The sequence below is a fragment of the Homo sapiens genome, chromosome 3 (assembly GCF_000001405.40).
Source record: "Homo sapiens chromosome 3, GRCh38.p14 Primary Assembly".
NCBI lineage: Eukaryota > Metazoa > Chordata > Mammalia > Primates > Hominidae > Homo > Homo sapiens.
This window is the reverse complement of record NC_000003.12, coordinates 57,894,506-57,920,599: the sequence shown is the minus strand read 5'-3', so window position 1 is coordinate 57,920,599 and position 26,094 is coordinate 57,894,506. Positions and strand designations below refer to the sequence as shown.

The following is a 26,094-nucleotide window of genomic DNA, read 5'->3' as shown; positions in this document are numbered from 1 at the left end:
CCAGTTCCTCTCTACTTATATCCTAGAAATTCTTCAATAAAGGAAACCTTTATAAAGGTGCTTCTGAAAAATGTAAACACCTTGGAATGACTTATCAGGAGCCCATCATCATGCTCAAGAAAGATAAATATTAAGAAGGAATATAAATGTATAAAAACATTAGACAGGAGAGATGGGGCTTAGGGTCAACACAGAGGTCACCAGAAAAAGAGAAGAAAGATATAGGTACAGAGAGGGAGGTAAAATATGAAAGAAACTCCCTGTTACCTAACAACATTCCCACAACAAGCCTGGATAGTATGCCAGAGAATGAAATAAAGGAGTACAATTCATGGACTTTATGATAGCTTTTTTCAGTTGATGTGAAGATCTGTGGACTTCCTTCCAGAAGGCAGAAGATTACTGGCATACTGCCAAGGCAAAGTCATTGTACCTACACTAGTTTCTGCAAATTGGAACATAATAAATTCTCAATGACCCATGATCTGATTCTTAACAGGGACTAATAAAGAATAAGTAAAGAGTACTTTGTTGACAAGTTTTCCCTTACTTTCCTTTTCCACCATTCTTACATCTAGTCTGCCCTGTGCACCAAAGCACTTATTTCTCCATTGCAGGAGTTGTGAAGCAGAACCACAGGAAGGCAGCTCAACCAGGGGGATCCTGTTGCTTACCTCCAGTACGTGAGGGGGTGGCAAGGACTCTGGCCCCACGGCAAGAAGGTAAAGCCAAGTAACTTTCTTGAGTCAGTCTTTGCAGGGTGGACTGTGTGCTCAATGTTTTAGGAATTTTTTTTTTTTTTTTGAGATGGAGTTTCGCTCTTGTTGCCTAGGCTGGAGTGCAATGGTGCGATCTTGGCTTACCACAACCTCCACTTCCCGGGTTCAAAGCGATTCTCCTGCCTCAGCCTCCCAAGTAACTGGGATTACAGGCATGCGCCACCATGCCTGGCTAATTTTGTATTTTTATTAGAGACGGGGTTTCTCCATGTTGATCAGGCTGGTCTCGAACTGCCGACCTCAGGTGATCTGCTCACCTCGGCCTCCCAAAATGATGGGATTACAGGAGTGAGCCACTGCACCTGGCCTATAAATTCTTAAATTACAGATATTCCTACTAAATTAAAATATAGTGATGCTTTCTAAAGTCAAATATAAAGATGATATATCATTATTTTCTTTTAATACTGAGGATTAAGATTTACTTTTTTTTTTTTCTGAGATGGAGTTTTGCTCTTGTTGCCCAGGCTGGAGTGCAATGGCCTGATCTCAGCTCACCACAACCTCCGCCTCCCGGGTTCAAGCGATTCTCCTGTCTCAGCCTCCTGAGTAGCTGGGATTACAGGCGCATGCCATCATGCCTGGCTAATTTTTGTATTTTTAGTATAGACGGGGTTTCATCATATTGGTCAGGCTGGGCTTGAACTCCTGACCTCAGGTGAGCTGCCCGCCTTGGCCTCTAAAAGTGCTGGGATTACAGGCGTGAGCCACGGCGCCCAGCCAAGATTTACTTTTTGCATGTACTTTTTCTTTGTTAAATATTCACATAAAAGCTGCCACATATATAAATTTTAATTTGTGCAACAAAGGTGACCTATTGCAGCCTTGCTTGGCTATCATTTTTGCTCCATCTTGCTTTCTAACTCTGAGGTGACAAATGAGCTTGGTCCTGATTAAGAGGGAAATACCACACAATATTACCAACACCTTTGGTTCTTCTTCATAAAAAGAATCATATGTGGGCTTGCTTAGCTTGTAATATTTTAGTCTGTTACAGTGCTGAAAATACATAATTAGACACTGTGCATATTAAGCATGATTCTATGACAGAGAGGAGAACAAAGGGGAAATGCTGAAGGGGAATATATGTGCATCAATAAAAGGCAATAATTCATTTGCAGTGGATTACACAGAGATAAGAACCTCATTAAAGAACATTTTAGTTATAGTATATAGCTATAACTAAACTATAGTATATAGTATCCAACATGTTAACATCTGGACAAACAGAAAGAGAGCAATTTCACATTACAAAGGAGTGTGATGACTACACATCATTTCACAATGGAAAACAGTGAACAAGAAAATAGAAAAGAAACATACTGACAAGATCAGACATATTTTTAAATGTGCTGCATTTAATGCAATCCAAGACTATCAACAATTTAGATGCTGTGACAACATGCCACTGCCATTTGTGGAAACAGTTAAAGCATCTTGCACCGATTACTCAGTGACCAAAAACAGGCAAACAAGTAATGCAACAAAATGACTAATGCGTTCATAGTAACATACAACAGAATAATCTTCCAACCACAGCATTCTTCCCAGAGTTTGAAAGAATTATGGCATATGGACTGGAAGGACACAAAGTGCTTACAGTATTAAATACTAAGATATTTACTTTGGCACAAAATTTGTGTTCCAACCAAATAAAATGAGATTTCTTCTAAAACACATATCTTTAGTAAGGTAAAAACGAACACATCACAAAATCAGTATGTCCGCAAGAAAATAAAAAATGTTACAGTATTTTTTCATTAGGAACAAACATGAAGACAGAAGAACAATCATTGCCAAATTCAGGACACTACAAGGAAAGAAAAGTGCAAAGAAAAACTGCATTGATTAAGCAGATCTTCTAGAAACAACTTTGGGAAAGTTCATTATTAAAGACAAAGAGTTGTCTTCAACTTCCTTCTAATTCATAAAGAATCCTTTTAAGAAAGTCTACAACTGGGGTGGTCCCTAATCTGTAGATCAAGTTGTATCAGGCTTCTCCATTCCCCGAGCTGGCCAGGAGTCAATGCAGGGAGTGGTATGAGGCCAGCAGGACTGAAGACAGCTCTTACTGCCCTGCTGTCAACTTCAAGGCTTTGGGAAGTGAAATGCACCTCTCTTGCTCAGGAAGAAACTGGGTAGGGTTTCTGTTCCAAAATCAACTGTTATGACTTCAACACAAATTTTTAAAAAGCCACTCAACTCAAGGTTTTAAGCAGAATGACATGAAAAGTGAGCATGCACATTTATGAATAAGGTGAAAAGGGGGTGGGAGGAAGAAAGTAAAAGGCCACAGAACATGTGTTTGGCTGGCTGCCTGGCTATGAGGTGAATTTTAAGTAACTTTTCAGGCCATATTTACCTGAGGGGTTCAGACAGCATTAGAGTATGGCCTCAGTTTGCTTTCCAAAAGTATGCTAAGTTACATACGATACTCTCTTTGAAAGTTAAACAATAGATCAAGAGACCTGGTACAAAGGATTTCTCATATAAGTAACTGGTAGAGAAAAATTAAAATGTAGTTTTGTATATTATATTTTTGAGACCAACCCTACTGAAGAATTCTCTACATATGGACCATGATATGCAGCTAGAAATCACCAAGCAGAGATGTTCCAAGTATCAATTTTGTGACAGGTAATGTGACTTCTGCTTCCCTTTATTTCTAACTAGCATGGATATCCGATTTGCTTTTGGCTTTAAGTCCAACCATAATTGGGCTCATAATGTCTTTTCGCTTTACCTCTTTCTGCACATCCTTTGCTTGGTTTTCTGCCTTACTGAGAAGAGTTTTTAAATCAGCTGAATCCCGAAGATGCTGTTCTTTCAAGGATCCCACTTGATTCTCAAGTTCTTTCCTAGACATTTGAAGGATGCTGAGATCACTGGTAAGCTCTAAACTCTGCTTCTGAGAACTGCAATATAAATATTGACAGATAGTTATTCACAGGTAGAAACTGGACACAGAAGGAAGTCCAGTTTCTTATACATTTCACTAGAAGGGATAGAGTGGATTTCAGAGAAAAAAAGAAAAGTATAAAAAAGAATGAAATATTTTCATTCAATAAGCAAAAACCATCAAAACACTAAAAAAATGCAAGTTTAAAGGTGTGTCCCATCAAATATACACAAAGGTTGAAATTTTAAAAACAGAAATAGGAGGTAATTAACTGTATATTTTGTTGTATCAAATTGTATTAATTTCATCATGAAAAGACTCAGTGTAGGTCTTCTACAGGAAAAGAACACACATGTTTCAACAATTTCTTTTAAGTTTAAATACTTGACAAATAGAATGGGGGTCAGAAACTTAAAGCTTAGGAGTCACTGTCAATTCAAGTAAAGATAAACCTGTTCAAATGAGAAGACACACCAAATTGAGAAAAGAGCATAAGACAAAGAAGTAGGAGGCTGAGTTCTAGACCCCTAGCTCTGCCACTATTTAGCTGGGGGATATTAAGCAAGTCACTTAACTGGTACATTTCATTTTCAGAGTAAACACTTCCTCAGCTCTTAGACCTATACCAGATACCACGTAATACAGACATAACTAACACAAGCAGAGTCTCAGTGCCCTTCACTGCCAAATAACAGGATTGAATTCATTAACTTCTGAGGCTGTTCCCAAGGTTAATAAATTCTATGATCACTTTTTTTTTTTTTTGAGACAGAGTTTCGCTCTTGTTGCCCAGGCTGGAGTGCAATGGTGTGATCTCGGCTCACTGCAACCTCTGCCTCCCGGGTTCAAGTGATTCTCCTGCCTTAGCCTTCTGAGTAGCTGGGATTACAGGCATGCGCCACCATGCCTGGCTCATTTTATATTTTTAGTAGTGACGAGGTTTCTCCACGTTGGTCAGGCTGGTGTTGAACTTCTGACCTCAGGTGATCTGCCTGCTTCGGCCTCCCAAAGTGCTGGAATTACAGGTGTGAGCCACCACAGTCTCTATGATCACTTTTATAACTGGATGTTAAAAAAAATCTGACTTACAACATATGTGGAGAACAGCTTGATATGTGTGAACAGAAATTCCTTCTTCAATTCCTTCTTCCGTAGCCCAGACAACAGAAAATAAAAGGTCTGTACAGTATAGCTGTGTTAGGGAATTTGGCTCCCATAAATAGCTAAAGGAGTATAAGGTTTTCAAGGTGACAGTTTTACATCTTTCAGAATGGATCATTCAAGACTCAGACTCACTATGGTAATTGAACTACTACAGAGTCTGAATCCCATTTTGATTGTACACTTCACAGATTCTTTGGGGTGGGTCTGATGTTGTCAAGCCAATACAGCTAGGAATTAAATGGCACATAAGACCCTGTAAAGGAAGACTAGCTTCTAAATACTACTTAAATGCTGGGGAGGCTTATCAAGCAAATTTAGGGCATCAGAAAAGTTTAAGAAAAAGAATTAATCTGTCTTAAATACTTTATGTGAGTTTAGGCAGATGATCTGACCAATGACTTATAGGCCCCTTTCTGGGGCCTAATATTTTTAAACCATGTGCTTCTACTCACTAGGAGTTTGTAGGCTTGCTTCCCAACACTTAAAATTTGAAATAATTGAAAACAGTATTTAAGAATCTGCCAGATTCCAATTAATCACATCTTAAAAATAAGGGATCTAGCCTGAATCATTAAAATATCAATACTTTCGGCCGAGGGCAGTGGCTTACGCCTGTAATCCCAGCACTTAGGGAGGCCAAGGTCAGGAGTTTGAGACCAGCCTGATCAACATGGTGAAACCCCCTCTCTACTAGAAATACAAAAATTAGCCAGGCATGGTGGCACACACCTATAATCCCAGCTACTTAGGAGGCTGAGGCAGCAGAATCGCTTGAACCTGGGAGGCGGAGGCTGCAGTGAGCCGAGATCATGCCACTGCACTCCAGCCTGGGCAACTGAATGTGACTCTGCCTCAAAAAAAAAAAAAAAAATTATGAGTTGAGTGCAGTGGCTCATGCCTGTAATCCCAGCACTTTGGGAGGCCAAGATGGGCAGATCACCTGAGGTCAGGAGTTTGAGAACAGCCTAACCAACATGGAGAAACCCCGTCTCTACTAAAAATACAAAATTAGGTGGGCATGGTGGCACATGTCTGTAATCCAAGTTACTCAGGAGGCTGAGGCAGGAGAATCGATTGACCCCAGGGGGTGGAGGTTGTGATGAGCTGAGATCGCGCCACTGATCTCTAGCCTGGGCCACAAGAGCAAAACTCCGTCTCAAAAAAAAAAAATTTATGTATATAGCTATATATGAGATATGTATAGATCTCATATGTATTTCATATATGATATATATCATATACATATATTTATAGTTTTGACCTTTATTTTGTCCCATTCCTATTTTGGAATTGCTTTTACAAAGTTTTTTACATCTTATAAACAATGTAAAACATTTGTTTTTATTTTTATTCATGTTTTCTTGAGACATGGGACTGGCTCTGTTGCCCAGGCTAGACTACAGTGGTGTGATCATGGCTTATTGCAGTCCCCACCTCCTAGGCTCAAGTGATCCTCTCACCTCAGCCTCCTGAGTAGCTGGGACTACAGGCCAGGCTAATTTGTTGTATTTTTTGTAGAGATGTTGTTTCATAATGTCCACACCCGGCCGGAATAAACCCATTTTAAACTTAAATATGGCAAACTGTGGTGGTAAAATAGGACTTCATTAAATTTGCTGGAATAAATCTAATGCATTCACTGATTTGCTTGTCAAGTATTAGATACTAGAAAGATTTAACTGGTTTCAGAGAATTATTGGTCTTATATATTATTACCCTTCATACAACCCTATTTGAAATTCAGAAGATTAATTTATATCTTTCAGTAGCACAAATTCCATTTTTTTTTTTGGTTTGTTTGATATAGGGTTTGGCTCTGTCACCCAGGTTGGAGTGCAGTGGCATGATCGTGGCTCACTGCAGCCTTGACCTCCTGGGCCCAAGCAATTCTCCCACCTCAGCCTTCCAAGTAGCCAAGACTACAAGCACACATCACTATGCCCGGTAAATTTTTGTATTTTTTTGTAGAGACAGGGTTTTGCCACATTGTCCAGGCTGATCTTGGACTCTCAGGCTCAAGCGATCCTCCCACCTCAGCCTCCCAAAGTGATGGCATTACAGGCGTGAACCACCACGCCCAGCCTTACAAATTCTTCATTATAGTCACTTCCTGATCACGTTTACTAAAAGAAGAGATCACTGGTGTGAAAGAAAAGCAGTTGATATTTGAAATTTATTAGTTTACAGGGCAAGTTCAACTATGAATTACAGACTTTTGTTGTTTGTTCAGGGTTTCTTTGGGACATTTAATGAATCTGTATTCCATGAGTACAAGGAAAGGACATGTAGGATAATGGTGGTGGCAGGAAAAAAAAAAGCTGAAGTATTTATTCAGTATGGTTAACCTGCCAAATAGCCAAACAGAGATGGGCTGAACATTTGCTCCTGTAAAATATTTAAGTATTAAAATTAAATTTAATTTAGATGAAAATTTAAGATAAAGAAATATTTTATATCTGAAAAACAGAGAGTTCTTGCATACTTGTGCAATTCTTTTTCTTGCCGTTGCAGTTCTGATGATAGCAAAACATTTTCCCTTTTTAGAGAATGGCATTCGGTTTCCAATGCATTCCATTCCTTTCTCAACTTCTCTAGTTCACCTAAAATAGTCCCAAAACATATTTGTTAATACAGAAATATAACTTCCATAATACTTCAAAGGATAAAGGAAAAGATTTCAGAGGAGAACATACTTTTTGCCCCCTTAAAAGCAAGTAGATTTTACATGGTTAATTATATGATTCCTGTTACTTTGCATGTATACCTCAAGGACTGCTATCAGCTTGTACTTGAACAATAGTATTTTTTTCCACTTCACTTTTATAAGACAAGCAATTTTTAACAATTTTAAAATAAAATATAAAACCGTAAAAAAATATAAATTTAAGTAGAACTTGCAGACCTGAAAATACATTTTTAGCTCCGATTTAAAAACATTGGTTTATACAACTGATAGCTAACAAAGAAAAAAAAAGCCTGCATGTTTCTTTTTTAAACAAGTTAAGAAGTTATCATTGTCAAAAGTTAACAGCTTTATGTAAAATACATTTATTCACCTTGCAACCTTGTTGCTTCTTCTCTCTGCTGGTCCTCACACTGTTGACATCTAAGCTGAAAACTGTTTTGCAGACTTGTGATTTCTTTCTCATATTCAGACGCTGCTTTCCGCCACCGCTCAAGCTCAGCTCTCACCTTCTTAAGCTCTTCTTGTAAAGAAGCAATGTCAGTGTCCCGCTCAGAGGCAACCTTTGCTGCTGCTTGATGAAGGAGCAAAATTTCATCTCGGGCACTAAGCAATTCATCTCTAGTACTTGTGATTTCACTGTCCTTCTCCTCCCGGAGATTCTCAGTATCGATGTGTAACCTCTGCAATTGGGCTGCAAAAGTATATCCATCATTTTCTTGGCCCATTAGAATAAAAGAATAATCCATACAGGATTGTAGCTAATGCATAACCTGGGTTGTCAGAGCTGTTGCTTTTGATTAAAGTGTATAAACAATCCACGTTTGATGCAGAAAGCGTCAAAATACAGATAGCAAAGAGGAAAAAAAAACCAAAGTGATCTTCATCTCCCCAACACACAGAAAATTACTTCTGATATTCCTTCTGGATTTTTTCCTATGCATTTATAAACATGTAAAAACAAACATTAAATAGGGAGTGATCACAATAAATGCAGTGTTCCCTATCCTTCTGTTGATGAAACTCTTTCAACAAAAAAATAGTTATAGTATATATAACTTATTTGCCCAACCCTTTATTTTTGACATTTTAGGCTGTTCAGTGTTTAAACACTATATACAATCCTTTTTTTTTTTTTTTTTTTTTTTTTTAGGGTGAATCCTATGTGTAGAATTGCTTGGTCAAATGGTAAGCAATAAAAGCAATAAACAGTTGACGCCCTTGATTCGTTTTTCTGTTCAAATGTCAATTCTTTAAAGAGGCCTTTTCTGATGACTCATGTGAAAAACAGCTCACTGTCATTCTCTGGCTCTTTACTCTGCTTTATTTTCCTTTGAAGTCCTTATTGGACATCATATTATCTATTAATTTGCTTATTGTTTATCTTTTCTACTGGACTGTACACCTCATGTGTGTAGGGCATTTGTTTTGCTCACAGCTGTCAGGTATTGGGGATACCCCAATATCTAACACAGTAAACAATCAAGAATTATTGGTTGAATTAATGAGTTAATAAAATTAATACTGCCTCATTGAAGGGTTATATAGATTTTTAAAAATACCTGGTTTTGTGCTCATGACCCAAACTGGAAACAATTTGTATAAAATCAAACTTGGCGCAGAACAAGAAAATTAATATTGGTTACCATATTATAAGGAAATTGTAGATTTAAAAAGTTCCAAAGGAAAATAATTAATTACAAGAGGATTTAGGGATGGGAGAAAGGGAGGTTGCTACATAAGTAAACATTAAGATATTAGACTTTCTAAGTTTGTAGGAAGGACTGAGAGGTAACAAGTTTGGAATCTGAAAGGGCACAATGGCCAGAGAAGATGATCATGATTTGTTGATACAGTCGTGAAATACACATGCTGGCACCAGGGGGCACTCAATAATGCCTGGGCAAGACAGGTTTTAAAAAAAAGGTAGCACTATGTCACAGAACCTTTAGGAAAAATTGCCCCTACACAGTCTACGATGAAAATAGAGATCCAAATCAGATTTATGTAAATTAATGGATAATGACATTAAACTACAATAGGAGTTTTAAGAGCTTTCAATTTAAAAACACATATGACATACCCTAGAAATTCTAATCTGACCAAAATAAAATTCTAATTTTAAATAACTCAAATGTTCCACTCAAAAAATAGGACCCCAAAGACTAGTTTTTCTCTGCGATATTTTTGGGCAAGTATCTTGGGCCTCGTACAATGACTCTCCCTTCTCTTCTGAATAGTGATTACTTGTCTATTTAATTTCTTCCCCACCTATCTCTCAAGCTAAAATTTTAAAACAACATTGGCTCCTTCTTTGACAAGAAGGCAAATTAATTTTACTTTAGGAATTTTACAATGGCATGGGAAAGGAAGACCTCTCCTGGGGTATCATATAATTTCCTCATAATATACCAGGAGCTCAAGCTTGAAGTAAACATTCGACAGGCAGGGGTCTTTCTGGAAATTTCTGTAATAACCCTGTAATAGCCCAGACAAAGAAATAGCAAAATGGTGATAAGAAGAACAGCCATTATCAACGAAAATCAGTGCAGAGACTACTATCCTATTCCACGTGATATATAATTTTTCTTGAGGCCAGGTGCAGTGGCTCATGCCTGTAATCTCTGCACTTTGGGAGGCCAAGGTGGGTGGATCACGAGGTCAGGAGTTTGAGACCAGCCTGGCCAATATAGTGAAACCCCATCTCTGCTAAAAATACAAAAATTAGCTGGGCATGGTGGCATGCACCTGTAGTCCCAGCTACTTGGGAGGCTCCAGAATCACTTGAACTCGGGAGACGGAGGTTGTAGTGAGCCAAGATCACCACTGCACTCCAGCCTGGGCAACAGAGCAAGACTATGTCTCAAAAAAACAAGCAAAAAAATATTTTCTTGCAATACAAGTGTGTTCTGAGCATTAGATGGCAATATATCTACACCAGCCATCAATATATACATATACCAGCAAGCTCAAAGTGCTGACGCAGAGTAGCTCAAACAGATTTCCTATCCAAAGGCCCTCTGTAGGAACTCACGACATAACTCAGAAAGTGACAGTCTTACCAACTCCAAATCTTCACCTCTGCTTTTTCCATTCTAAGTGTCTAATACGAGAGTACTGGACAATCTTCCCTTGAATTTTCTTTAAAAAAAAAAAAAAAATAGGCCAGGCGCAGTGGCTCACACCTGTAATCCCAGCACTTTGGGAGGCCAAGATTGGTGGATCACCTGAGGTTGGGAGTTTGAGATCAGCCTGACCAACATGGAGAAACCCCATCTCTACTAAAAATACAAAATTAGCTGGGTGTGGTGGCGCATGCCTGTAATCCCAGCTACTCAGGAGGCTGAGGCAGGAGAATTGCTTGAACCTGGGAGGCGGAGGTTGCAGTAAGGTGAGACCGCGCCATTGTACTCCAGCCTGGGCAACAAGAGCGAAACTCTGTCTCAAAAACAAATAAATAAATAAAGCTCCACCAAGAGCCGTGTTGAAATGTGAGGTTCTAGAGAATCAAAGCCATGAAAAATGGGGACTCTCTGCCTTCTTACTTTCCATTTCATTTTTTTTTTTTTTTCTGAGATGGAGTCTTGCTCTGTCACCCAGGCTGGAGTGCAGTGGTGCAATCCCAGCTCACTGAAACCTCCACCTCCCAGGTTCAAGCAATTCTCCTGCCTCAGCCTCCCGAGAAGCTGGGATTACAGGCATGCACCACCATGCCCAGCTAATTTTTGTATTTTTAGTGGAGACAGGGGTTCACCATGTTGGCCACACTGCTCTCGAATTCCTGACCTCAGGAGATCCACCCTTCTCGGCCTCCCAAATGCTGGGATTGCAGGCATGAGCCACTGCGCCTGGCCTCCATTCCTTTTGAATCACTAAAAACAAACACACAATAACAATCTCAAAGAGCCTTGGGGTCTTCCATACCTTGAAGAACCTGTATTTGTTTAGTGGATTCCTCAACTTGATTTCGATAGGCTTTTCTTTCTTCTTCCAAAAGAGCTAAAAGTAAAAACACAGTATCTATTAATAGTTTTGTGAATTAATGAAAGTACTCAGAGTTGAGCAGCTGAAAATTTCTTTTAAAATTCTCTCCTAAAAGATTATTGAAAGAAACAAAAGTTAGGCAGTAAGTATTATCAGTATTAGCAGTTAGTTTAAAGATTTTAGGAGCACAGAACTGTAGTAAGTAATAAATCTATTCAACTGAGTAGTGGAGTTTTCTGGACCTGGTATCACCAAGACAATATGTGCTTTTCTTAACATGAGAAACAGTCTTGATAATTGTTAATCAGCATTTTGAACTTAATTTTTTAAAAAGACTTAAAATTCTTATATTTACTGTCAAGCACATAGTAAACACTAAACTAAATAATTGCTATTTACCAAATATTTTTTCATTGTAATTTAATATATTAGCCTGGATCCTCCAAAAGGTTCAAGTTAAGTGAATACCAATTCTAATTTCTTTGAGAATTAGGAAAGGAAAGAAGTAGTAACAAGAAGTTCCTAGTTCCCTCCTGGGATGTAAATCTTCCTACTAGGCAGGAAGGCCATCTTGGAGAACATGAGGGCTCCAGAAGTCATTCCCTTTCTCATTTTAAGACTCTTTGAGATACTAATTGTCTGCAACCAGGTAGTTACTATGAATGATACAGAAATGTAAGCTCTAGGGAACTGCACAGACTCCACTGGCTTATGACCTATAGATAAGTGAGCTACTAGAAAAGAATGTGGCCAGGACATTAGCTAACATTAGGCATAATAAAAATTTAGAAATTTGAGTTTTCCTTCTGTTGTACTTAATATGCAATTAACTATTAAGATCTTTCAGTTAGTAAAGATCTTACTTGATTTTCACATCAACAGTGTGAAGGTAGAGCAACTGTAACTCTCCTCATTTTACTGACCTGAAACACAAGTTTAGAGAGGTCAAGTAAATATACCAAGATCACATATCTCATAAAGTTGTGAATCTGGAACATGCCTCCGGACTCCAAGTTTGGGGCCACCCAATTATATTGTGCTGCCTCCACACATCCCTAAAGAACCAAAGTAATCTTGATCTCACCTTGAAGTTCAAAGCATTTTTGTTTACTTGTTCTAGCTAGCTCCTGGGCTTCGATCAATTCCTTTCGAAGATGCTGTATTTCTTGCTTTGCCTCAATTTCTGACTGTGCACCCTGCAAGTCATCTGACAAAAACATGTTTATTTTAAAAGCAAGAGTTAGTATCACACTATAATCTACAATAAAAGACTGGTAATCTCTCTCATGTTTGCACATGCATAAACAACATAGAACAACTGAGTTAAATAAAACTTAGAAGCAAATTATAGTAAGCATTTTAGTAGTTGGGAGAAAATACAAATACAGTTATATATATTAGTAATCATGGTGATGACATTATAAAAATATATTAACATAAATTATATATTCACAATTCTAGCATCAAAATAAACAGACAGTGACAGATTATAACTCATTGCTTATTAAGACTTGAAATTCAGTGAGATGAGCAAAATGCTATACTTCTTCATCAATTTTGAAATTTCTTGATAACCAGTCAGAAAAATTTCACTTGGAACTTAACTGGATATGGAAAACAAAAAGAAACTTTTCTTCAAGTAACAGCTAAATTTTAGCACAATTACCCTAGTTGTGGAACACAAAATAAAAACTAGGCTGAAAGCTCTACTGAGCCTACTTTGTCATCATCATTTCCCCAACACGCACATATAACAAATATCTGAGCTGGGCGTGGTGGCTCATGCCTGTAATCCCAGCACTTTGGGAGGCTGAGGCAGGCGGATCACGAGGTCAGGAGATCGAGACCATCCTGGCTAATACGGTGAAACCCCGTCTCTACTAAAAACACAAAAAATTAGCCAGGCGTGGTGGCAGGTGCCAGTAGTCCCAGCTACTTGGGAGGCTGAGGCAGGAGAACTGCTTGAACACAAGAGGCAGACGTTGCAGTGAGCCGAGATCGCGCCACTGCGCTCCAGCCTGGGCAACAGAGTGAGACTCTGTATCAAAAAGAAAAAAAAAAACCGCAACAACAACAAAAATCTGCTGAATATATTAAATGATGTAACCTAAGTGGTTTTACCGAAATAAATTAAATCCAGCATTCTATTTCAAATATGCCCCTTCCCCTAAACTCCTTCCTCTCCAATCATTCTGCTTTTTAATTTTTTAAAACCTTCTGCTACTGAACACTGCCTGAAATAAATATATCATCAGGTAAGCCATATTGTTCTAATGAATTCTATTTGAGTATCACCTTGGTTTATAAGTACCTCAGCATAATAACTTCAATTCATCAAAAAAGAGCTAAGAATAACTTTCACAATACAATTACAATAGGTTTTGGAAATTATATATATATATATATATATATATATTTTTTTTTCATATTCATAGATTATATCCTATTTTTCTCTCTAGAAAAATTGTATTCTGGCCTAGGCGCGGTGGTTCATGCCTGTAATCCTAGCACTCTGGGAGGCTGAGGCAGGCAGATCACTTGAGGTCAGGAGTTTGAGACCAGCCTGGGCAACATGTGGAAACCCCGTCTCTACTAAAAATACTAAAAATTAGCTGGGCGTGGTGGTGCGCGCCTGTAATCCCAGCTACTCAGGAGGCTGAGGCACGAGAATTGCTTGAACCTGGGAGGCAGAGGTGGCAATGAGCCAAGATCGCGCCACTGCACTCCAGCCTGGGCGACAGAGAGTGACTGTGTCTCTAAAAAAAAAAAAAAAAAAAAAAGAAAAAAAAAGAAAAAAATTTGATTCTGGGTTCAGCTACTCTAGTCAACTTATCAATTCTTCCTTCAAAAGGTCTTTGGGCCAGGGAAGGGGCATGTAGAGAGAGAGATTTTTCCAGTGGCAGAAACACTGTTGCATTAGCTACAAAACTTCTCTCACAGCTCTTTCAACACTATCCACTGGAGTCTGCAAAGGTCCTGGCCCCTGTTTCTGGATTTGTCATTATATAGGATAATGCTCTTTTTTTTTTTTTTTTTTTTTAAGGAGTATTTAGAAGAGAAGCATCATGATGCTTGCATCTTACATTCAAGTGGTTTGACAAAAACATCGACATTAATTCCTTGAGTAGGTATTTTCCTTGCTCTGTGATCGAGTTTTTCAACCTCAGCACTACTGACATTTTGGGCTGAATAAATTCTTTGCTGTGGGGCTACCCTATGAATTGTAGGATGTTTGGTAGTTTTCCTGGTCAGATATTGCCAAATGTCCCCTGGGAGGTAAAATGTCCTGTGTTGAGGACTATTGCTGTATGTTAATAATTTGATAATCAAAAAAAATTTTATACACAGGTTTCTTTTCTACAAAAGCACTGGCTATTAATTCTGAAACAACTTTCTGTGTATTCTAAAAAGGCTCAAATAAATACGTTGCAGATAAATGAAGCCACTTTTCTCACTGTTGAAGAAGAAAATTACAGATATGAAAACAGGTAAGATAGAATTAATCCCCTGGGCCGGGCACAGTGGCTCACACCTGTAATACCAGTACTTTGGGAAGCCAAGGCAGACAGATCTCTTGAGGTCAGGAGTTCAAAACCCACCTAGGCAACATGGTAAAACCCGTCTCTACTAAAAATACGAAAATTAACTGGGTTTGGTGATGCACACCTGTAGTCCCAGCTACTTGGGAGGCTGAGGCAGGAGAATCGCTTGAACCCAGGAGGCCAAGGCTGCAGTGAGCCGAGATCATGCCACTGCACTCCAGCCTGGGCAACAGAGTGAGACTCTGTATCAAAAAAGAAAAAGAAAAAAAAGGATTAATCCTCTGGTGTAGGGTATGAACTCGAATAGATTTGGAGATATAGAGAAATATATAGAAATAAATATAGATATGTGTGCAACTGCATACACACAGAACCACACACACACTTCTTAAGTCTGTCCACTGAGTGGGCCTAGAAGCAATTATACACCAGTAGCCATGAGGACACCAAACATTTAGATCTTGGTTTCTCTTTTTTTGAGACAGGGTCTTGCTCTGTTGCCCAGGCTAGAGTGCAGTTGTGCCATCACAGTTCACTGCAGCCTTAATTGACCTCCTGGGCTCAAGCTATCCCCCTTCCTCAGCCTCCTGAGTAGCTGGGACTGCAGGCACGTGCCACCATGCCCAGCAAAATTTTTAATTTTTTGTAGAGATGGGGTCTTGCTATGTTGCACCAGGGCTGAATAAATTCTTTGCTGTGGGACTACCCTATGAATTGTAGAATGTTTAGTAGTTTTCCTGGTCTCTATCGACTAGATTCAGTACCCCTCCTCCACCCTGGCCCACACCCCAGTTTACAACAACTAAAATGTCTCCAGATATTGCCAAATGTCCCCTGGGAGATAAACTCGAACTCCTGGGCTTAAGTGATCCTCGGCCTCCCAAAGTGCTGGGATTACAGGTATGAGCTACCATGCTGGGCCATGTCATAAAGAACATTACTGAGACAACTGTCAAAATGTGAACAGGTATTTGGATTTGAGAATAGTAATGTACCCATGTTAATTTCTTAATTTTGAGAATTGTATGGTAGTTACATAAGATAAATAAGAAATGTATACTGAGGTATTTAAGCATAAAGGCTATCATGTCTGCAACTGATTCTTTGTTTTGTTTTCTTTTGTTTCAAGACAGGGTCTGCTCTGTTGGCCAGGCTGGAGCGCAGTGTCACAATGTCTACTCACTGCAGGCTCTACCTCCTGGGCTCAAGCGATTCTCACACCTCAGCCTCAAGAATGGCTCAGACTACAGGCATGTACCTCTGTGCCTGGCTAAGATTTGTAGTTTTTTGGTAGACACAGGGTCTCACTATGTTGCCCAGGCTGGTCTTGAACTCTATAGTGTTTGATCATAGAAGTGGAGATACTAACCAAAAATCTTTTCAAATTAAGCCTAATAAACACAGACATAATAATCTGACTATATTCAAACAAATCGAATAGTTAGTGTGCAGATCCTCTTTCTAGAAAACCAAGTGCCATTTTTTAAAAAATCAAAGACTTAATGAGCAATTCTTTTTGTGCAAAGGTTGATCAAGGGCTCACTGTATTTTATATGGTTGTGTGGGAAAATGCATTACTAGTTTATTATGGCTTGGGTCCATTCTCAAGGTGCCTCGTTTTTGTCCTAGAAATGGAGTTTCTATATCAATCTGCTTCATAACCTTGGGGAGTCTTGTGATGAGTACTGGTGGAAAAGCGTTTAGATGAAGATAAATGAAAGCCTTACTAAGCCAAATTCATTTTATTTAGACATGCAAGTCACATGGAAATAAATGTTATTTAGGAGTAATGTAAGTTGTAAATCTGTTTTTTCCTTAACATGAATTGTATATGTTTAGAACTGCCTGGTGTATAGTCTGGGCCAGGGGCCAGTTTTTCTCGGACTAAGGCTAAATCCTGTAAATTCACACTATAAATGAACTGACAGAATACTTACCTACATAATATCCTAAATTAAATTTGGCATCACCAAATATCTTCAAAAGAGTGACTGGAGATTCAACTTAAACTCTGACCTTTGCTCAACTGAACTCTGACACACTGATCCACTTGGTAAAGGGCCAAATCAAAGATTTTTTTCCCAAGTTCTATTTTGCATGTGCATACTTGTGGAAAGCTGACCTAGCCATAACATATGGCATGTCATCAACTGATAGAAGTGACCTGGCAAGTGGATGTGTCCTCTTTCCATTGCCATCACTCTTCTCTTTAGAATGTCTAGTCATTGCAGGCTTGGTTGATGAGAACAACCTTCACAATGCAGGAAGATCATCTTTCCATTGTGGGTACGTGTGGCCATGTCAAATAGCTTAAGGTAGCAGCCTCTTATTGTCAATTCTTACCCCTTTGCCACTCTTTCTGAACTGCCAGCTTCCTTCTCAACAGCTGGATCTTTTTGGCTCTTTTACTTTCACCATTGTTCTTTTCTTTCACTAGAAACTCCCTCTGCTACCACTGTTCACCCCTGTGCAAAGAATTTCCAAACCTAGTTCCTATCTTCTGTCTATAGCCTTCTTGTGTATCTTATCTCTGTATCTCTCAGGTCAATAAAACATCTGAGAAATAAATGAAAATGATTTGTTGGTTCTAGTTTCTGTTCTGCACATCCAGCTGCATCTCCAGTTCCTAGGGTGACCGTATAAAATTGGGACAGCTTTGAATATGAAAGAGAGCACTTTTGACGATAATTATGCTGGGACAATAGCCATAAATGGTTCCAGGCAAACCCATGGTCACTCTTCCTGTTTAGCATGTGCCAAATTAAAACCATCACAGCTACCACCAGGACACCTTTTCTTCCAGAAATAAATATTTCTAAATTTTCAGTCACTCAGGGTCAAATGCTGGAGTCATAGCTGACTTCCATCTCTCTCCCATATTTAATGTCTCAGGCCAATGGATTCTAGATAAGATTACCAAGGCCCCAAGTGGTTTTTGCTATCTGAAATTTCCACAGTAATTACCCTAGTTCAGACTCTCAAATGATTAAGCCTCTTGACTGCCTTACCTGTAGCCTCTATCCACTCCAGTTCATTCAATAAACCTCCCCAAAATGCAGATCTGATCATATCATTGCTGTGCTCAGAAGCCACTGAATTGTTATAATGATCACTCTATCTTACAAAACACTCAAAGGATTATGTGAACAAACTTTAATTATACTTATCAATCCTCAAACCAAACCCATTTGATCTAGCTTGTGATTTTTAATATTTCCTTTTTCTAAGAAGGTATTTTTATCTACTCTTCTTGTAATCCTACCCATTTAAAATATTTTATAGATGTAAATATAAAAAAACTCTAAAATGTTTAAGACAAGACTAAAAAGAAATAATATCTATAATACTATGATCACACTGGAAAAAATCAGCAATTTCTTAATTGTTTGATATTCAGTCAGTATTAAAATTTTCCATTGTTCCAAATTTATTTTACAGTTGAATTGTTTGAATGAAGATTCATACAAGGTTCATACATTATATTTAGTTGACATCTCTCTCTCTTTTTTTCTTTTTGAGATGGAGTCTCGCTGTGTCACCCAGGCTGGAGTGTGGTGGCATGATCTTGGTTCACTGCAACCTCTGCCTCCCGGGTTCAAGCGATTTTCCTGCCTCAGCCTCCCAAGTAGCTGGGATTACAGGTGTGCACCACCAAGCCCAGCTAATTTTTTGTATTTTTAGTAGAGACAGGGTTTCACCATGATGGCCAAGCTAGGTTCGAACTCCTGACCTCAAGTGATCTGCCCACTTTGGCCTCCCAAAATGCTAGGATTACAGGTGTGAGCCACCACGCCTGGCCGACATAACTCTTAAATCTCTTTTAATTTATAGGATTTCCCCCATCCCCTTTCCTTTTTTTCCCCTTCTAATTTAATTGCTAAAGAAACTGGGTTGTATGTCCTGTAGAATCTTCCACATTCTGGATTTTGCTGGTTGTATCCCCATCACATCATTTAGAATATGTGCCTAGTTCTTTGTATGTCCTGCAAACTGGCAGTTGGAGCTAGAGTCTTGATCAGATTTAGGTTTAGTTTTTCTTAATCACTGAATATATCACATATGGTAAGACACACTATTTATAGAGTCATTTCAAATGACTCTTGTCCCATGAAACTCAAAATGCCTTTCTTCTCTATCCTCTGAAACAAACAAACAAACAAAAAAACCCTGGGCATTCTCTTTTCTTTGACTGCTGATGGCAACAACCACCAATAATCAGCTTATCATCTATAACTCTCTGTGTGGTAAATGGGGGAGGGAGTAAGTCTCCCTGTGGGGTCCTCAAGGATCACTCCAACATAGCTGTGGGAATTATACTTGGAGAGGTAAATGAAATTAAAGGATTTATTATACTCAAAGGTCCTAGAGAGGGAGGCAAGGTACACCATGCAGGGAACCATATGGGAGAAGCCCAAAGAATGGGTTCAGCCAAATAGGTATAACTGATAGAGTGAGGACCTGTAGGCAAATGCTTGTATTGGGGGTCAGGATACACAAACAAAAGGCATGAGGTGATTTCGTTAAATTTCACTAGGGCACTGCCAGGGAAGGTTATGAAGGGGAACTTGTGGCAGGGACCAGCCTTATCATACTGGTGCATCTGGTTGCCAGGGCAGAGTGTTCACGGCCTGTTTGTGGGGATGTTGAGGCACAAGGAAAATACAAAGTTTTAAAAAATGTACTATCACTAATTTGCCTTGAAATTCCTTAAATCCAGAGGATAGATTTTTGCTTTTGTTTTTGAGACAGAGTCTTGCTCTGTCACCGAGGCTAGAGTGTAGTGGCACGATCTGGGCTGACTGCAACCTCTGCCGTCTGGGCTCAAGTGATCCTCCCACCTTAGCCTTCTGAGTGGCTGAGACTATAGGCATGCACCACCATGCCTGGCTAATTTTTGTAGAGATGGGGTTTTGCCATGTTGCCCAGGCTGGTCTCAAACTCCTGGGCTCAAGTGATCAGGCCGCCTCAGCCTCCCATAGTGTTGGGAATACAGGCATGAGCCACTACGTCCGGCCCGACAGTCTTATTAGACTTTAAAACCACTGCAGTCCCTGGCAAGGTTCCCCAAACAGAGCAAATTTGCAACAGACATGATTTGAAGTGAATTCCAATTTTAAAAAACGTTTTATGGGAGATGGTTTCAAGCATACAGAAAACATGGTTTGATCAACTTATTTCTCATTTAAAAGTAACTAAATAGATAGAAATGATTACTATATCAGGGAAAAGGTACTACTGCTATCATCATTTTATCTCATAATGAATGTTTATTATTATTTTCCTTGTCCTAGCTGACAAATGTGACAAGTCGTACACAATAAATCTAAAGAAAAAGATTGGCTATTTTTTAAAAAAGGGGAAAAAAAACTTGAAAATAATGGTTCGGGAAGTCAGGCACAAAGTTTGAATGAGGAAAATAAAGAGGCTACTTATATGTAGCTGCCTTATATAGCTGTAAAGGTCAACACTGTTGTCTAGTAATTTATACTTTTAAGAGAAAATTATGTCAGTCTATTGAACCTAATTATACAGATACAAACCATAACCACACATAATCAAGCATAACATAAATGTTTCTAAAAAGTACCAGTAATACATCACTTTTAAGAATTTGTAAAACTCTTACAAGAGAAACTTTACAAAAGAAAAATAATAATGACCATAAAGGGCTATGATAATTATCTCTTGGAGACTCTTCTAAAATATGCCTCCTTCTACCTAGATGATTTTTCTTTACATCCAATCACTGACTGACTTGACAGTCTGTTCTTAAAATCAAGCTGCAAAAAGAGAGAGAGACAGAGAGAGAAAGAGAAACAAAGTGAAAGAGTAAACAAGTCGGGTAGGGTGGTGCATGCCTGTAGTCCCAGCTACTTGGGAAGCTGAGGTGGGAGGCTGAGGTGAGAGGAACGCTTGAGCTCAGAAGTTCAAGACCAACCTGACCAACTTAGCAAGACCCCTGTCTCTAAAAACAAAACAAAACAAAATAAGTAAAAAAATTCATAAAAATAAAATCAAGCCACAAAATCTTTCAGCAGGTATTTATAAAGATACTACTTCATTAACAAAAAAGTTGGCAATCATACAGAAATGTAAAGAAAAGTTTTAGAAGTTCTTTCACCTTAACGTAAAGCAAGGTTAGGGAAACTCTGACCCATCTTCATCAATGGCACCTGAAGCAATTACTAATAGCATCTGCACACAGGCCGCCAGCTCCACATGCATCTTGTATTTTCCAATCTTTTCCTACATCTTTCCCCTTTCATTCCCTGTTCCTTGAGTCTGACTTCCCAGGCTATATTGTGAGTACTTTTATAGATACTGTTTGGTGCTACTCATGGATTAAAAATATTTTTTCCTGATTATCTGGCAAGTAACAAACAAATAAATGCATTACTAATTAGAAAAAATCCATTACAAACAAATCCTTGTTCCTAAATACTATAGGAAATAATTTTAAAACTCCACAATCTTATTCAATTAATATGGAGTTACTCAGAGTCCTTCAACAGATAGGCCTGCTTTTATCAATCACCATCATCATCATGATCAGTGTCTTCATTATGGTGGTTAACATTTTATGTTCCCAACACCATGGTAAGTGGTCCATGCACACCCTTTCATTCAATCTTCACAATAAACCTATAAAGTTGGTTTTCGCCAGTCTAATACATGAAAAAACCCTGAATCACAGAGCAGTTAAGCAATTTGCCAAGGACATATTACAAATAAATGGCAAACCTATGACTGAACCCAGAGTTCTTTGGCTCTTAGCTTTGTGGCTAGTGTTACTTTCCTAATGCTCTTGTGTCTTTATAATTTTAATGTAAGAAGTCCATTATCAATTAATTCATCAAATATCTGAGTTTTACTGAATACCTGCATTGTGGTAGGCAATGGGATAAAAATCAAATCTAAAACAGACTGACAAAAATCACAAAAGCACTAATAATAGTTGAATACAATTAACACAATCATAAACACTATACTCAATCTTAAGTTGGCTATTGAAAAGATTTCTGTAACACTGAATGCCTGTACCAAAACAGCTCATGTACCCTATAAATATATACACCTACTATGTACCTACAAAAAGAAAAAAAGAAAAAGAAAAAAGAGAGTTCTGTAGTGCAAAAGACCATAAAGAGGGCTACTTTTGTATGGGTGTGTTCATTACTCATTTACCTCCCTTCTTTTTTCTCCACGTTCCCATAAAGGCCCATAGGGTCTGACATTCTTTCAGTATCAGTAACTACATTTTACACAATAATGGTATTGCATTTCTGAGATGAGAGTTCTGGATCATACCAACATTAACTTATATTTATTATTATGACATTAGAAAAAAAGCATGTCTTATCAACACCAAAGATCACCTAAGAAGAGTACAAATCAGTAAGAGTGCTCCTTCCTTATATAATCCCAAAGCTCGGGGTCTGGACAAGGAGATTCCCTATTAGTCCAGCCAGAAAAATCGGCACTTCCACAAAGAGAAATTTCCACAGGCTGCTACTGTCACTCTGATCCCAGAGAGCTGTCTGGTGTTAGTACACCACTACCAACATTTTTAATAAACCCACTGGGCTGAACTTACAACATATGTCAATTTTTCTTGTGTACAATAAGGCAACATAAAAGAGACTGAATGTTGACAATTTTCCAGTAAACTATCCCCAAGGAACTTTATTTTAAAAACATTTTTATAAATGCTGATTTATTTTCTACCCACTTCATTCTAAACAAGTAAATATCAAGAAATGTACTTCCTGTTTAGAGGTGAGACAAAGAGTTAATTACATGCATTACTTATCTTATCAACATCTAAAATTTCTTTCTTTTTTTCATTTTTTTTTTTGAGATGGAGTTTTGCTCTTATTGCCCAGGCTGGAGTGCAATGGCATGACCTCTTACCACAACCTCTGCCTCCTGCATTCAAGCAATTCTCCTGCCTCAGCCTCCCGAGTAGCTGAGATTACAGGCACGCGCCACCACACCCGGCTAATCTTGTACTTTTAGTAGAGACAGGGTTTCTCCATGTTGGTCAGGCTGGTCTCAAACTCCTGACCTCAGATGATCCACCTGCCTCAGCCTCCCAAAGTGCTGAGATTACAGGCGTGAGCCACCATGCCTGGCCATCCACCTAAAGTTTCTTAGCCCAAAATTTCTAGAAGAGTGTCATAAGAACCTGGGGATATTTATTAGAAGATGAAGAAGACCAGAAAATAAGGAAATTTACAACTGCTACCATATGATAACAGAGTAAACCGGTGAGTCTTTCAAGAAAGTTAAGATTTTCACCTTATTCTAATTATGTTAAAAGCGCTAATAAATTCCTATTAGAGACACAAGGGTAAACAAAAAACACAGCTGCATTTCATATTCTACCACTTAACACTTTGTCCCTCGTAATCTTGACTGATCCAAATTATTCAACAATAGTTTGAAATATTGGGTATAAACACCAAAACTTTAAATTTTTAGTCCCTGCTACTTTACAGAACCTATCTTAATCTCTTAACTAAAAATTAAAACTTCACATAATATCTAGAACAGATTTTATGGCAAAGGGTGATTTGATACCCTGGTTTACGATGTCATAAAAACATGTTAAAGTACCTTTTAAAAGGGACACTTTGGCAAGAGGCTCATTTAGGTCTTGCTCATCCATTTGGGCGTCTACAGAGAGGAAAAAAATACATATATAATTACAGACAGTATTCAGATCTATCAGCAAGCTATTGTTATCAAAACAAACAATTGGAATTGATACAGCTATTATATTCGGGTAGTTGAAAGTAGTTTTAACAAAATATCCAGCATTCAAAGGGGATGACTTGATAAATGGAAGCGTTTTTTTTTTCCCCAAACACATACTTTGAAATCTCCACTCACATTGACCTATATAACTAAACTGCCATTAACAGCTGCAGGTCTGTAAACATTAGGTTAAAACTCACCTGTAGTGTCGTCACTGCTTTTTTCCTTGCTTGGACTCAGAGTATCTGAAAAATCAGATTCTTTTGCTCTTGTCTGATTTTCTACCAAGAAAAAAATAAAAGTAAAATCTTATTACAGTTAAATATCTTATATCAATAAAACTGCTTCAGGCTATGAATGCTCAAAATCTACAGGTACGCAAAGTACTTTTAAAATAGGTCAGGTCACTGAATCTCTTACTTCTTCACCACCCTTGTCCAAAATGGAATGCTGGTTATTACACGTAGCTCATATTAAATTATAATGTGGATCATGTCTGCTTTGCTGAGGGCTGGGGCTTTTGTTCAAGGCTGTCCACTTGCCAACTGGAAACAAAAACGAAGCAAGCTTTGCTAAAGTATTCAAAGAACTGCAACAAATATAGTACAATTCCCAGGACAATGCAGACACTGTATAAAGATGATTAAAGGAGAAGGCTCTGTTACATAAAAACACTAGTAAGAAGGCTGCTTTAGTAAGATTTGTACTCAAATAATAAAACTCTTAAAAAAAAACCACGATCAGTTCTTATAAAAAAGTGCCACTTAAAATAAGAAAATTAACAGCCTTTTATTTCTAAAGATAACTGTCCCTGAATCACAGTAAGAAAAAACTTTTTTTTTTTTTTTGAGACAGCGTCTTGCTCTGTTGTCCAGGCTGGAGTGCAGTGGGACAAACACAGCTCACTACAACCTTGACCTCCTGGGCTCAAGGGATCCTCCTGCCTCAGCCCCCTGAGCAGCTGGAACTTCAGGACCATGCCACTATACCCAGATATCTTTTTTAAATTTTTAGTAGAGATGAGGTCTTGCTATGTTGCCTAGGCTGGTCTCAAACTCCTGGGCTAAACTGATCCTCCCGTCTCAGCCTCCCAAAGCACTAGAATTACAGGCATGAGCCACTGCACCTGGCCAAGAAAAAACTTTTTAAAAAGTTTAGGGCCAGGCGCAGTGGCTCACGCCTGTAATCCCAGCACTTTCGGAGGCTGAGGTGGATGGATCATGAGGTCAGGAGTTCAAGACCAGCATGGCCAAGATGGTGAAACCCCATCTCTACAAAAAATACAAAAAATTAGCTGGGCATGGTGCTGGGCACCTGTAATCCCAGCTACTCGGGAGGCTGAGGCAGAGAATTGCTTGAACTCGGGAGGTGGAGGTTGCAGTGAGCCGAGATTGTGCCACTGCACTCCAGCCTGGGTGACAGAGCAAGACTCTGTCTCAAAATAAAGAAAGAAAGAAAGAAAAAAAAAGTTTTGAAATTGTTTACAAGAGGTCTTCTGCCTGGTCCAATGAAGCCATCTTAGGCCTAATTTTCAAAGAACTGTCCTCAGAAATCCTAACTATAGGCCCAATAGTTTATTAAAGATGACTGGCAATTAATTAGGCCCCAGATCCTCATCTGTAATGGCACATCTGTACATACTATGGAATTCCTTTCTTTTTTTTTTTTAGAGGGGGTGTCACTATGTTGCCTAGGCTAGTCTTGAACTCCTGGGCTCAAGTAATCCTCCCACCTCAGCCTCCCAAGTGCTAGAATTACAGGTGTGAGCCACCACACCTGGCCTATGGCATTCTTTAGGGTAGCATTTGCAGAAAATGTCATTTCTCTGAATGAAATCCTATATGGAAATCCTATCTCCCCATTCTCCACAAGGCCTCAGTCAAGCTTTACATAGCAGAATTTAGCCGTAATCTGGTCCCTACATTATTTCCCACAGGAGCTCTGCTCTGGTCATGCTAGCTTCATTATAGGGCTAATACATGCCTGCATTATGTCCTGCAATTATTTGTTTGATTCAATATTTCCCTAACCTCAAAAGAGCCATTTTCTCTACTTGGCCTATTCATTCTGTAATATACAGTTTAAGTCCCATCAACTCTAAGGAAGTCTTCATTTCTCCACCATGGTGCTCCTTTTAATTGTATCTTTGTGTCTTTTGTTTCCTCAATTAATCATACTTTATTTTGTATTATTCTGTGTATATGTATATATCTTCTTTCCTTAGTGAGATTATAAATTTATAAAGCATATATTTTTATAATGTTACAGACCTGATTTCACTGTTTG

The 26,094-nt window shown here is 38.6% G+C and overlaps 1 protein-coding gene and 1 long non-coding RNA gene across 61 annotated transcripts in view; one reads left to right on the top strand and one right to left on the bottom strand.

The window, feature by feature from the left end:
- SLMAP (sarcolemma associated protein) overlaps positions 1-26,094 on the bottom strand; it is a 173,705-nt gene that overhangs the window by 9,414 nt on the left and 138,197 nt on the right. For 29 of the 56 annotated variants that reach the window (XM_005265456.5, XM_005265462.5, XM_005265459.5 and 26 more), the window contains 7 exons: positions 24,009-24,089; positions 23,668-23,727; positions 12,594-12,716; positions 11,450-11,524; positions 7,899-8,219; positions 7,325-7,442; positions 3,523-3,694 (listed from right to left, as the gene is read on the bottom strand). In XM_005265456.5, the coding sequence (XP_005265513.1) occupies positions 3,523-3,694; positions 7,325-7,442; positions 7,899-8,219; positions 11,450-11,524; positions 12,594-12,716; positions 23,668-23,727; positions 24,009-24,089 (950 nt within the window). Of the gene's footprint in view, positions 1-2,117; positions 3,695-6,987; positions 7,443-7,898; positions 8,462-11,449; positions 11,546-12,593; positions 12,717-23,667; positions 23,728-24,008; positions 24,090-24,228; positions 24,354-26,094 lie in introns of those variants that run through there. The other 27 variants (XM_005265468.5, XM_017007159.3, XM_005265472.5 and 24 more) reach the window with 9 other exon arrangements.
- LOC105377103 (uncharacterized) lies at positions 452-16,841 on the top strand. 5 transcript variants are annotated; one of them, XR_007095924.1, is made up of 6 exons: positions 452-722; positions 3,324-3,416; positions 8,679-8,713; positions 14,553-14,633; positions 14,858-14,997; positions 16,181-16,841. It is a non-coding gene; the product is annotated as an uncharacterized LOC105377103 (long non-coding RNA). The 5 variants fall into 5 exon arrangements; XR_007095925.1 differs by lacking the exon at positions 8,679-8,713 and having other exon boundaries at positions 14,921-14,997; XR_940867.3 differs by lacking the exon at positions 8,679-8,713.